General features: G+C 34.0%; 1 long non-coding RNA gene across 1 annotated transcript in view; it reads left to right on the forward strand.

The window, feature by feature from the left end:
- Positions 1-14417, forward strand: part of LOC105373790 (uncharacterized) — a 104710-nt gene that overhangs the window by 37975 nt on the left and 52318 nt on the right. The window lies entirely within an intron of this gene.

The following is a 14417-nucleotide window of genomic DNA, read 5'->3' on the forward strand; positions in this document are numbered from 1 at the left end:
GGTCAGGGAAGGCAAGATTCATCTCCCACACACATGTACCAGCAAGGAGAGGTAGGGTTGGCCATGGGCCTGAGGGAAGCTGCAGTGTAGACAGGGAGCAGGTGGGTTGGTGCATCTTTGCTGGGGCTGCTCTGCTGGAGCTCTACTTGTCAGACAGGTCCAACAGTGCAGGAGGTATGAGTCAGGCCTCCGGGGCACCCGTGGCTACACTGCAAGTAGGTGCAGTCAGGCTGGGGCCCCAGGACATAGCAGAACAAGGTGTATTAATGTGTTCTCACATTGGTATAAAGAACTACCTGAGACTGGGTAATTTATAAAGAAGAAAGGTTTTCTTGTGTCGTGGTTCCACAACCTGTGTAGGAAGCATGCTGGGGAGGCCTTAGGAAACTTAAACCAAGGCAGAAGTCGAAGGGAAAGCAGGTATGTTCTGTATCACTGGAGCAGAAGGAGGAGAGCTCAAGGAGGTACTACAGACTTTTAAACAACCAGATCTCATGAGAACTCACTCATTATCATGAGAATAGTGAGGAGGAAATCTGCTTCCATTATCCAATCACCTCACACCAGGCCCCTCCTCCAACAATAGGGATTACAATTTGACATGAGTCTTGGGCAAGGACACAGATTCAAACTATATCACAAGGGGATGCTCAGGTTGGACCAGCTCTGTCTAATGGCCAAGACCACCCTGCAGAGTTCAGGTCCAACAGTTCCCCTAGGGCTAAGTTCCCTCTGGGAACCAGTCAAGCCTAGGGGAATGGGTTTCCCTGGCTGTGCTCCACTACACACGATTTTCCATCAAACCCTGTGAGCTCCACACTGACTGGAGTGCTACTGCTACCACTTTTCTAAGCAGCTCTCCCTGCCGACTCAAGTATCCAGGGTTGTCAGTGGGTCTCTTCCTGTCAGGATTCCAGAGGTCTGAGAACCACCATATTCTTTTCTATTTCACTGGAGGCATGGGGGAAGAATGTAACTTATAAAAACAAAGAATTGTAATGGACAATTGAGGGACTAAGAAAAAAACACTCGTGGTCTACCCAATATCACATACTGCTACATATACTAGCTAAACAAAATTACTAAGCTGATTCCCAGCTTTTCTGAAAAAAATCTATAGCTGAGCTCTTCATAACCATCCCTCTCTCTGCTTCTTGAATCAATTACTTTGAAGCAGGCAGAGTTCCTCCTCCTTTTTCTTCCATGGGTCTTTGACTGTTTACCTTCACTATCTCTATGTCAGAAGTTATTTACCTTTTTGGGGTACGGCCATCTAAAGAAGCCTATATATGTCTCAAGGTAATAATTTTTAAATTTTTAAAATAAAATATCATATTGAGGACTTCAGAGGAAACCAATTGCATTTAAATGTTTTTATTAAAATGTTAAGGAAAATTTTGTCATATGTAATGATGTACTTTGTTAAAAATACAATAAATAAAATTATTGGCAGCAAGTCTATTGCCTACTATATTGTGTTCACGGTAAGTTTTGTTTTGAAATATCTGCAATATTTGTAATGTTAAGGAATACATCTGTTTTCTATTGATGACAATGTCACAGTTATGCTACTACTGTTCTGTATTTAAAACTTACATTTATAATTGAAGGAAATGCTAAATTTTTGTTGGAGTTTAGTTAGAATATACATGTAGTTTATTTTCATACAAATGTTTAGGCCCTGAGAATTCCTTCTGGAAATACAGTTCAAATCTAGAAAAATTGTGAAGGGAAGTAGAAGTGAACTGTTAACAGTATCATGTTTTCTGGGAAGCACAGTTTGCATGAGTAAAACAGAACAAAATGGAATTAGGGCAACGTTTGATGGCATGTTATGTTTGTAAATTATACTTTCCCTGTACTCTCTCAACTTCAAGTATCAAAAGCTGAGTTATAGGAACCAGAGGGAAAATACCATCACAATGTAGAAGAGGTAACCCCTGCAAAACTATGATAGCAAAACTAAACTGGCCTACAAACAATATACATTCAACATGTTTGAAATCCAAAGGCAACGAGAATGTTCTTTAAGCATCAAAACACAACAATTCATACACACAAATACAAACTGGTTGGCTACTTATAAGGGACTAAAAGGAAGCCAGCCTCAGACTCTCTGCCACATGAATAAAGAGAACAGAATGGAATACTATTTAGCATTGTTTCGGCAAATTGTCACTGAAGACATAAATACTTTGACATATTTTCTTTCATAAGGAAAGCAACAGAAAGGCATAAAATTACTTAAATATGTAATTCAAAAAAATAAAGATCATGGTAAAATTAATAGCATAACAAAGGAAAAATATTAACATTAAATGAATGAAGGACAGAACTAAATCTAGTTAGACAAGAGATAATTGCAAATATTTCAAGCATCAATACAAATGTCAAAAACTTTATATATACTTACATAAGTATACATTTACAATTATTCACTTATTTACTACTTTTTAAAGTACAAATTATACTCTAGCTCTAAAATGCCAAATTAACTAAACTCAATTAAATTAACTAAACTACAATTTTCATAGAGAATTGGGAAAGGAAAGAAGAGAGAACGTTAATGGCTGCTTAATTCCTGATACCAAGGAGGAGGTATTTAAAATGCTGTTGGATAGAAATCTAGAATTGATCAAATCAAAACCAAAGTGAAACAAAAGGCATTAAAAAAGATGAATGCCTCATAAAAACAGGATATCTAACATTAACATGTCAGTAGAGAAACCAAAGCAAATTTCATTAAGTAGGAATCACAGGATATTTATTAAGGGCTTGTATATGATGAAAATGTAATTGTTTATTTGTACATGACAGTAGACAAAGCAAAACATACAGGAAAAAACACACTAAAAATGAGAGAAAAAAGAAAAACTTACTTCACTTTCCTCCTTCATAACTCATTGAAAACATCAAAAAGAAAGAACAGTAGGGGAAAATATTTCATCAGTGATACAACAAGACAGCCATAACCTCAAACCACAAACCATCACGTATACTTGCCAAAACTGTAAAGCCTGGACTCAGATGGGAACGTGATGAGAGTTGACATTTGTTGCGTTTAAACTTTACCCAACTACATATTTCCCAAAGTAAACATCACCTTCACAAAAGGCAACACAACTATAGTTTGATTAGAAAGCTTAGATCTAGCTCAGTATTGGACACAGGTTTTCTGTGGAATGTCTAGAAAGAAACACAGTTTAGAATAATGAGGTAGAGAAGTAAAGAGAAAAATAAAGCTGATAAGTAATTTCTTTTATTTAGGATTTGGTTTCCCAGGTCAAGAAGACTGTGAGAGTGAAGTAGAGTAGAAAGATAAAAAGAGCAGCCATACCACAAAACAAAGGGTGTTAAAACTGAACAGGAATTACTGTGAGCCCCCATGGGTCCCTCAAAGATAAAACTAGAAAGGAGTTGTGTCCTTAGCAGGAAGAACTGAGTAAGAGTACAAAGAAAATAGAAGGATGCATGTTCTAGAAAATAAAGTCACTCTGTTCCTTATTTCTAACTGCCTCTCTTTACAATATATTTTGGTGCAACCAGTGCTCATTCAAAAATGAGTTTTGTCAGAAATAAACAAATTAAGTTATTGTACGTCAAAACTGCCACCATAAAAGGAATAGACATATAATCAAAAGGTAACTCATAGACCTCAAGAAAAATCACTCTGCCAAAATACAGGAAATAGTAGAAAATTATCTTTTATAATCCCTAAAAAATGAGAGGTAACTACATCCTTTTTAAAGAAGCACAGAAATGAGAGAGAATAGTTTTATGAAATCATAAGATGATAAGGGTGCAAATGTAAAGCTTGATAACAGAGCATGGGGAAGTAAATTAAAATAAGCAAGGTGCTATAAAAACTAAAAAGAATAAAATGACTGAAAATAATATCAGAAACATGTGGCTAGGTTTATAACAAAAGGAAAATACCAAGTAATTAAAAAGCACTACAAAAAATTTAAAGTATGGAAATAAAGAACATTTGGGCCACACATGATTGGTGGTTTTGAAAAAAGCAGAACTCATAGAATACAAAATCTATTCAACTTTATAACAGGAAGAAACTTTAACTGAAATAGGAGACTGGACTCCAGAGATTTATGATACAAACAGTTTACCAGAAGAAATGAGAGAGAACAATAGACATCAGATATGTTTCAGGTATTCAACATCAGTTACGATTAGTGCCCAGACAGAAGGCAGTAGGCGTTTACACCAGAAGATAATGCATTCTATCCATTAAATGATTTCTACAAAATATCTACAAATGATGTTCTTCTTTTGACAGAAAGGAAGTACCCCATATTTTTGCCTAGGTACATTTTTGTCCAGTGTAACAACAGCAGACAGATGATCATAAGTGCCTATGAACTATTATTAACATAAATTATGAAAGGAGTAAGAAAAATGAGAGACATATAAATGTACATTATATCGTCTCTACTAATAGAGAGTAAATAGAAAGTTTGCTAATTGAAGTGTAATTTCAAAAACTCCAGACATGTCTATAAATCTAATAATTTATGTCAAAGATATGTGGGGATTTTATTTTGCTATTTTTGCATATTAACTGTAATGTCAAATTTTTCAAAATAAGATTAAAAACTCCAAACACTTCAATTTTTTGTCTTTTTAATCTTAATGTTAGAAGGATATTTTCAGAAATAATACAATTTTTGATAAAGAAAAAATTGCCTGAAATGTAGCAATTCTACAGGTTTTACAGCAATTTGGAAGTTACATCCAATTAAAATTAAATATAATCATTTAATTAAGACTAGAATACATCTTGAATATTAAGTTAATATATACATTTTTTTTGCTCTAGGAGAGTTGTCTACAATTATGTTGATCAAATGTTATTGATGTTTCCAGTAATTAGGATTTGGGAGATTAACCAAAACCACCCTTCCCACATTTATGGAAAGCATAGCTTTTTAAAATTAAATAATGAGCAAGTAAAAGAATATATATTATTTTGTTCATATACTTTGCCCACTTTTTCATGGGGTTGTTTTTTTCTTGTAAATTTAAGTTTCTTGTAGAATCTGGATATTAGCTCTTTGTCAGATGGGTAGATTGCAAAAATTTTCTCCCATTCTGTAGGCTGCCTGTTTACTCTGACGATAGTTTCTTTTGCTATGTAGAAGCTCCTTAGTTTAATTAGATCCCATTTGCCAATTGTGGTTTTTGTTGCAATTGCTTTTGGTGTTTTAGTCATAAAGCCTTTGCCCATGTGTATGTCCTGAATGGTATTGCCTAGGTTTTCTTTCAGGGTTTTTATGGTTTTAGGTCTTATGTTTAAGTCTTTAATCCATCTTAAGTTAATTTTTGTGTAAGGTGTAAGGAAGGTGTCCAGTTTCAGTTTTCTGCATATGGCTAGCCAGTTTTCCTACATCATTTATTAAATAGGGAATCCTTTCCCCATTGCTTGTTTTAAGAAGACATTTATGTGGCCAACAAACATGAAAAAAAGCTCATCATCACTGGTCATTAGAGAAATGTAAATGAAAACCACAATGAGATACCATCTCACACCAGTTAGAATGGTGATCATTAAAAAGTCAGAAACAACAGATGCTGGAGAGGATGTGGAGAAGTAGGAATGCTTTTACACTGTTGGTGGGAGCGTAAATTAGTTCAACTATTGTGGAAGACAGTGTGGCGATTCTGCAAGGATCTAGAACTAGAAATACAATTTGACCCAGCAATCCCATTACCGAGTATATACCCAAAGGATTATAAATCATTCTACTCTGAAGACACATGCACGCATATGCACACTATTCACAATAGCAAAGACTTGGAACTAACCCAAATGCCCATCAATGATAGATTGGATAAAGAAAATGTAGCACATATAACCATGGAATACTATGCAGCCATAAAAAAGGATGAGTTCATGTCCTTTGCAGGGACATGGATGAAGCTGGAAACCATCATTCTCAACAAACTAACACAGGAACGGAAAACCAAGCACCACATGTTCCCTTTCATAAGTGAGAGTTGAACAATGAGAACACATGGACACAGGGAGGGAAACATTACACACTGGGGCCTGTTGAGGGGTGGAGGGCAAGGGGAGGGAGAGCATTTGGATAAATACCTAATACATGTGGGGCTTAAAACCTAGATGACTGGTTCATGGGCTCAGCAAACCACCATGGCTCATGTATACCTATGAAACCTGCACGTTCTGCACATGTATCCCAGAACTTAAAGTGTATTACAAAAAAAAAAAAAAAAAAAAAGAACATGGAGCACCTAGAACTTACACATTGCAGCAGGAAAGCAGTTTGGCAGATTCTTATAAAGTTAAACTCAACAAGACCCAACAGCGCCACTCTGCAAGAGGGCCTGTTGGGAGGTCAGGGGCTAGGGGAGGGATAGCATTAGGAGAAATACCTAATGTAGATGATGGGTTGATGGCTGCAGCAAACCACCATGGCACGTGTATACCTATGTAACTTACCTGCACGTTCTGCACATGTATCCCAGAACTTAAAGTATAATAATAAAAAAGAATATTTTAATATATCTTCTTTATGTGTGTGTATATATGTATGTATGTATATACATATAAACACATATGGAGAAATTGCCAGAAACATAATAGTAGTAAAAAGGTACTTGTTTTAGGCTTGAAAATCATATATATAATTTGGAAAAAATATTTTTATTAAGTTTGTTACATGTTCCACTACTATAGAATATACCTTCCTTTCAACTAGCTAAAAAATCACTTGCAAATAATATTGTTTGTTACAAAGTAACATTACAAGAAAAATTCAATGAACGCTATCATGAACATGACTGAACATGGGTTTCCATAGCACATAAAAATGTCACCATATTGAAAAGTAAATATACATTTGCTAATAAAGAACCTGAGCATGAACAGAAGATGTGAGAAGTAGTTAAAAAATTATTAAATACTTTATAAACACCATTGTACTTAAGAAATTGAAAATAATGGCACAAAAACTTCTATTTTGAAGTTTGGGCTATTTTAAAACTGAAAATTAATGTTTTAAGAGTGAGATTAGAAAGACAATCCTCATAGAATTCTTTTGAGTTAGAAAATTGGAACAATGTAAAGGAAAATTTTCTTCCAGTGTAGTCAATTGTTTAAAAACTATTTCTTGCAATGTGTTCCCAAATTTTGACTTCTAGGAATTTGTCTTAAGGAAAAAGGTATTTTGACAATGATTCTGAAGCTATTGTTGGTGTGGTATGACATGGTGGTTAAGAGAGATTCCAGAGAAGATTTGCATGAATTAAAATCTTATTATCTGTCACTTTCTATCTGACGTTAATCTCACTTGCCTCAGTTGCTCATCTGTAAAATTAGGATAACTATAGCTAAGGAGTTGTTATGAGAATTTAATGAGTCTATATAGAAATTTGATTGGAATAATGCAGAGATAGCTAGTGTTAACTATTTTGTTCTATCCAAATATCCCATAATAGTGGTATTTATAACAACAAACACTATAACCAACCTAAATATCTAAAACTATTAGGATAATTAAAAAAATTATAATCTACATATAGAATTATGAAATCACTATAAAAGATATTTATTGACATGAGAACTATCATCTATAGATTACACTGAAGCTTTAATTGAGGCGGATTATGAAAGTTATCTAAAGAAAGTCTTCAAATAATCCTAAATCTAGATAAATATTCCAAAATGTTTATATAATCTAGTGATATATGCCCTATGATTTTCTTTATATTTATTGCATTTTACAAATTTATACATGTATCAAATTTTTATATTGAATGCATGTTACTTTAATAATCAGACATTAATGCTTTAAAAAATAAACTGATTCAAATAAATACACAGTAACTGCTTAAAAATCTAAAATGTATTTTTCTTGAATTTTGTGGCTCATGAACAACTAATGTTTGGCTACATTTTAATTTTATACATTAATTAGATAGTAAATGTATTGTGGAATGTTTAGATTGGCTAATAAATAATAAATTTGTTTCATCTTTTAAGTAAAAATTTAAAATTTATAAGCAGGATGTTTTTGAAAGGTTAAATGGATTATAAGCCAATATTATCCTTCTTTAGATTTACTATACCATTATTGTTATTTCCATAAGGTTGCTACTTTCTTTACTATGTGCTCCTAGTATACGTTAAATAGAAAAAAGAAAAACTGTACTGAATGAGAAGACTTTCTAATTATATTCCTTAGAGAAAAGAGTCAGTATATGAGAGGGAATAAAAACACTCTAATTTGTGGCTGTAAGTATAAAAAATTAACAAAGGAAAATTCTATTTTCTTGGTTTGTTATCATGTGAAAAACAAGCCATCAATTTTAATTAAAAAATAAAAACTTTACATACTTTTCTGTTGAGAACATATCTAATAGAAAATTTTAAAACAAAATTAACAGAGAAAAAAGAAAAACATTGGAGAAATAAGAAGCATCTTATTTCAAATAAAAACAATTCTCACACAAGGAAAATGTTAGACAAGTCACTGTTTTTAAAATGCTGTATCCCATTATATTTAAGTTTCTATTGTGTCTGTAATAACCTAGAATGAAGAGTATTCCAATTTGCTTTGAACAGACTTAGAATAAAAATTCTACATTACTTTTTAGTCATGCTCCAGGGCAAGAGATTTATTATAAGAATTTCCTTATTGTTTACAATTTTGATAATTTGTTATAAAAGCTGATAACTATACACATTTTTATAAAAGTTACAAAGCAGTACTTCTATTTGAAATCTCATCTAGTGACTATCCTCCTGAAAAAGGCTCACTTCAACTTTGCGTTGATATGTAATAGTCTGAGTCATCCAAATAGTGACTTGTGGACAAGATAATCTCATACTATGGAGGAAATACCATTTTAAGTATAAAGGAAGTTGTTTGGAATGGTTTTATTAATAAGTGTCTGACTGGGGCTTTACGTTATGACAAACCACAGCTTTAAAAAACATGAAAGAGCCTAAACAAAAGAGAGAAGACACACATATGATTTTTTTCTTTTTGACTCAAACCTAGGCATTGTATTGATGAAAAAACTTGGTTACTTCTTCACCACAATGAGTGAATTCCTCTTATCAATGGCAATCATTTAATAATATTTCCTCACATGTAGCAGAATGATGATAATACTCTGTATGCTGGAAGTTGTAATCCCTGAAAGCACAGTGCCACATCCCAGGCATTGGAAAGAAAATTGCTAATAAACTGAATGTTGGTAATTGTAGTTTTTAATCTTCTCTATATAGTCAATCCATCAGAGTACCAAATATCAGGAGGGAGAGATTAGAAATTCAAAAGTGGTATAATAAATAAATGCTTGTTAAACATTAGAAATTTAGCTGAAAGTTCTTTAACATTCTCTTCAACTTATCCTGAGAAAGAAATTTGATCATTACACAAATGAAGTAACAAAGTCAATAATTATAGTGATACCCTGTCTGTGGGCACAGAGTTTAGCTCCCTGAATGAGATGAGAAATGAGATTGATAAGGAAGAATTATACAAGACCTTGGAAATTAATTTAAAAAATACTGGGGTTAGCATATAAATTAGACATATTAAGTAGCAAAATTAATAGTTAATAAAATCAATTCAGTGATATGGAAAAATATCTTCAAGGAATTGAGTTAGAAGCAGAAAAATATTTAGATATAAAATATGAAAGATGAAAAATATAGAGAAGTTTGAGATGCAATATGAAAAGTGATTTACTAAAATAAAATGCATGTACTAATGGAATAAAAACAGGGATATTAAAAAGAAGGATTGTTAAATTTCAGATAAACTACAAGATAGCCATTAACACCCAGACACAACGTAACAGAATTTTTAATTACAAAGAAAACAAGGTGATGGATCTTCCCTGATCTAAGGAAGCTGAATCCTAAGTAGGAAGAGAGGAAAGCTAATAGGCAATCAGATTTAAAACTCAGATTCCACTCACAAAACATCACTAATCAGTAATAATGGAGGTGTTGGAAAAAATGATCACTTCTTCCCACATTTGGGAAACCAGTTGACTGCTTCTATTCCACCTGGTACATTGAAGATTTACTTTTCTAGAAATCGTAAAACCCAGAATATCTGGACTGGAGGCCATAAGACATGTTTATGAGCAGAGGTATATATGCTGTGCTGAAATAGAGAAATACATTGAATGTTTATCTAGATTAATGAGTTTTCCCCCACCCTATTCTTATAATTCATCTACCAGTACACTCTCAGGTAGGTCCAGAATATATCCAGAAGATACTTTTATAGAACCTAAGAGGACATAACTTAAGATATGGTTTTGTGGGCTAATCCATTGAAACTACAAACCAAAAAGAACTGTACTGTGTCATAATCTTAAATATGAACAAATCATCATACATTTTACATAAAAGGCAGAAATCCAAATCAACAATAAAAAAACTGAAAAAACAGAGTCTAAGAAAGGAGAAGATAACTTTAAATCAATAATCTTTCTATATTTTTACGTCTGAAAAATATCTGAATTTTAACTTTGTGCTTTTAGATAAAAATGATATATCTATGAAAGAAAAATAAAATGCTTTAAAACAATAATCTGAAGAATAGAAAAGTTCATGGACATTACTAATAAAAGAAAAATAACTGTCAGAGAGTTGGAAGAGAAAATTGGGAACATCTCTTTTAAAGCAGAGGAAAATTACAAAATGATGAAAAATAAGATATAAAATGTGAGGATATCAGTGGCCCAGTTTACAAAGTTCAACATAGGAGTGAAAGTAGGAGTTTACATATAAGAGAACAGAGGGCAGAACACCTTACAATTTCAACATCTCCCAGTCACAAAGACATAAATTTGAAGAGGCTGGAGGAATTCTGAACATAATGAATTAAAAGCAAGCTCGAACTATTAAAAACAAGCTCAAAGTAAGTTACATTATTGTGAAATTTCAGAAGACCAGTGACAAAAAGGAGACCCTAAAAACTTCCAGGAGAGGGGAAAATGGTTACAGACGAGTCCAGAGATTGAATGACAACAGGATTCCTAACAGCACCCTGATAGCTAAAAGAGCTGTATCTTATACATCGTTGTGGAGGTTGTGTGGGAAGTTTTTCAACCTACAATCTAAAATTAGCTGAATGATCAGCCATGTTAGAAAGTAAAGTACATATAAATGCAACATACAAGGTCTCTAAATATTTGTCTTTTTTATATCCATTCTCAGGAAGCCTTTGGAGAATATTCTCCACAAACTGAAATGAGTAAATCAAATAGAATTACATAGGATACAGGAAAAACAGCATATTCAGCAAAAGGGAGAGGTAAAGAGAACCTCCCAAATTAGGAGCAATGGAGTTGTCAGTATGACAGCTTATACTGAGCATAGAGGGAAAACAACCTAGAATAGAATACATCAAAAGGCTATAGGAGGAATTTATTTCAGAAGATTGAATAGAATGCTTGATTTATTTTGATGTATTGAGACAGATTTTTAAATATTGATAAGAAATTTAGGACTGAAATCATAGAAAATATAGATAAAATTAAACTGAAAACTATAATATATATAATTATGTAATCATAGTACATGCTTAATGATAATGTACTGAACTATCTATTGAGCTAATCGTAAGTACAATTTAACAACACTGGGAAAAAGAGTACTTAGGAAAGATGGGGAAGCAGAAGAAAGTGAAAGAGAACCAAATTTCTGTCTTTCATAGTGATAAATAAATGATATTTACAATTGAAAGTCAAAAACAAAAACAATGTTATTTATAGTTATGGAAGCTATATAACATTTTGCATTATGGATATTGTTTCTGAAGAAGTATAAATAGATGAGAAATGGTTTTCATTTCTACTCTTTGTTAAAAACCTTGAAAAATATTTTCACTTTCAAAACATGTAAGCTACATTTAAATTTAATAATAATAATTGAAGAAAATAGCCTTAAAATTCCTTGTAATAATAAGTGCCATTAGAATGGTACATACGGGAAATTTAAGAAAAATTTGTGAATCTAAACATTATTATACCCAGAATCTTATCTGGGTTTTAAATTTTCTTTTCATCTGTAAGGATAACAGACTTTCTCAGATTTAGAAAGGATAAAAAAATATATTCATTGGTACATAATAAGACTAAACAAGCATTCATATGGTTCTCATTTACCACTCTCAGTTGCCCCAGGACACCCAGGCCTAAGGACTTTCCTGAATTTATTCTTGAAAAAAATAGAACAAAGGTCAATTACGTAGAGATTTCTGGGGCCTTTGCTAACAGGGCTTTAGATTATTTATGGGTTATATCTTGTAGGCCCAAAAACAGAAATGAGCACAGTATGCTTAAAGAACAGAAAGAAGGCATGCATAATTTGCAGTGAACTGTTAGGAGAACTATATCAAGTTCACACGGAAGGAAGAGGCCAGATCATTTAAGCTGGGTATGGAGTTTGAATTATATTACACGTGAGATGAGGAGACGTTGAAGGCTTTTAAGCAGAAAAATAAGAAATCCGATTTAAAATGCTCACACACTGTAGTGTGGGTAATTCGTTTGTTGAGGAAGGAGGAAGTCCGGGAGGATAATTAGCAGTCAAGAGCAAAAGCACGGAGACAAGTTAGGTGACTATAGTATAGTTCAGTCGAAGATGATGATAACTTGGAGGAGGATGTGGACATGGAGAGAAGTGAACTGATACCTCTTTTCAGTGTTCACTGTTCATGTAGAGCAGGGTTCCCCACCACCTATCAGTCTGTGGTCTGTTAGGAACTGGGCTGCTCAGCAGTAGGAGAGTGGCAGGAGAACAGGCAAAGCTTCACCTGTATTTAGTCACACTCCATCACTCGCATTAATTCCTGAGCTCCGTCTCTTTTCAGATCAGCCACAGCATTAGGTGTTTTTCTTTTTTCTTTTCTTTTTTTTTTTTTTTTAACAGAGTCTCACTCTGTCTCCAGCCTAGAGTGCAGTGGCACCATCTTGGCTCATTGCAACCTCCACCTACCAGGTTCAAGCAGTTCTCCTGACTCAACCTCCCAAGTAACTGGGACTACAGGCATGTGCCACCACACCCAGCTAATTTTTGTATTTTTAGTACAGACGAGGTTTCACCATGTTGGCCAGGATGGTCTCGATCTCTTGACCTCGGGATCCGTCCACTTCAGCCTCCCAAAGTGCTGGAATTACAAGCGTGAGCCACCACACCTGGCCAGCATTAGGTTCTTAAGCAGCACAAACCCTATTGTGAACTGCACACATAAGGGATCTAGGTCGTACACTCCTTATGAGAATCTAATGCCTGATGATCTGTCACTGTCTCTCCTTACACCAGATGGAACCATCTAGTTGCAGGAAAACAAGCTCAGGGCTCCCACTGATTCTACATTACTGTGAGTTGTATAATTATTTCATTATCTTACAATGTAATAATAATAGCAATAAAGTGCACAATAAATGAAATGTGCTTGTATCATCCTGAAATCATCCCACCCACCCCAGTCTCTGAAAAAATTGTCTTCCACAAAACCAGTCCCTGGTGCCACAAAGGTTGGGGACCATTGATATAGAGGATTTTGTGATGGATGCTATCTGGGAAATAAGAGGAGTCAAGGATAACTCCCCATAATAGGAGAAACATTAGAGAATGTGGAATCACACAAATAAAAAAAAAAGTTTTGAAGAAGTAGAAATGATCAATTTTCAATTGCTGCTGAGAGATCAAACACAGTAAGGACTAAAAGCTGACCACTGAATTTGAAAATATAGAGCAGATTGGCAGCCAAGGTAAGACAAGTTTTGGAGGAGTGGTGGAAATGGAAGCATAATTGAATTGAGCTAATGAGAGCTGGAAAGGCATAGAAGTGGATAGGGTGATTATAAGCAACTCAGTTTAGTTGAGAAGAGATATAGGCAGCAAATGCATTTTCTAGATTTTCATGAATTTTTTTGACTGTCCATACAGTATTATTTTCATCTGATATAGTTTGACTGTGTACCAAATCTCATCTTGAATTATAGCTCCCATAATTCCCTTGGGAGGTCGTGGGAGGAACCTGGTGAGAGGTAATTGAATCAGGGGGCAGGTCTTTCCCATGCTTTTCTCATGATAGTGAATAAGTCTCATGAGATCTTATGGCTTTATAAAGGGGAGTTCCCCTACAGAAGCTCTCGCACCTGGTGCCATGTAAGATGTTCCTTTGCTCTTCCTTCATCTTCTACCCTGATTGTGAGGCCTCCCCAGTGATGTGGAACTGTGAGTCCATTAAACCTCTTTCCTTTAAAAATTACCCAGTCTTGGGTATGTCTTTATTAGCAGCATGAGAACGGACTAATACATTGCCCATGAAAAGTTTTATTTTTTACACATGTTAAGTATGTACTTTCTATTCTGTACTCTCGATCTGTCTATCCCTGTGCCA

Source organism: Homo sapiens, chromosome 2 (assembly GCF_000001405.40).
Source record: "Homo sapiens chromosome 2, GRCh38.p14 Primary Assembly".
Classification (NCBI taxonomy): Eukaryota; Metazoa; Chordata; class Mammalia; order Primates; family Hominidae; genus Homo; species Homo sapiens.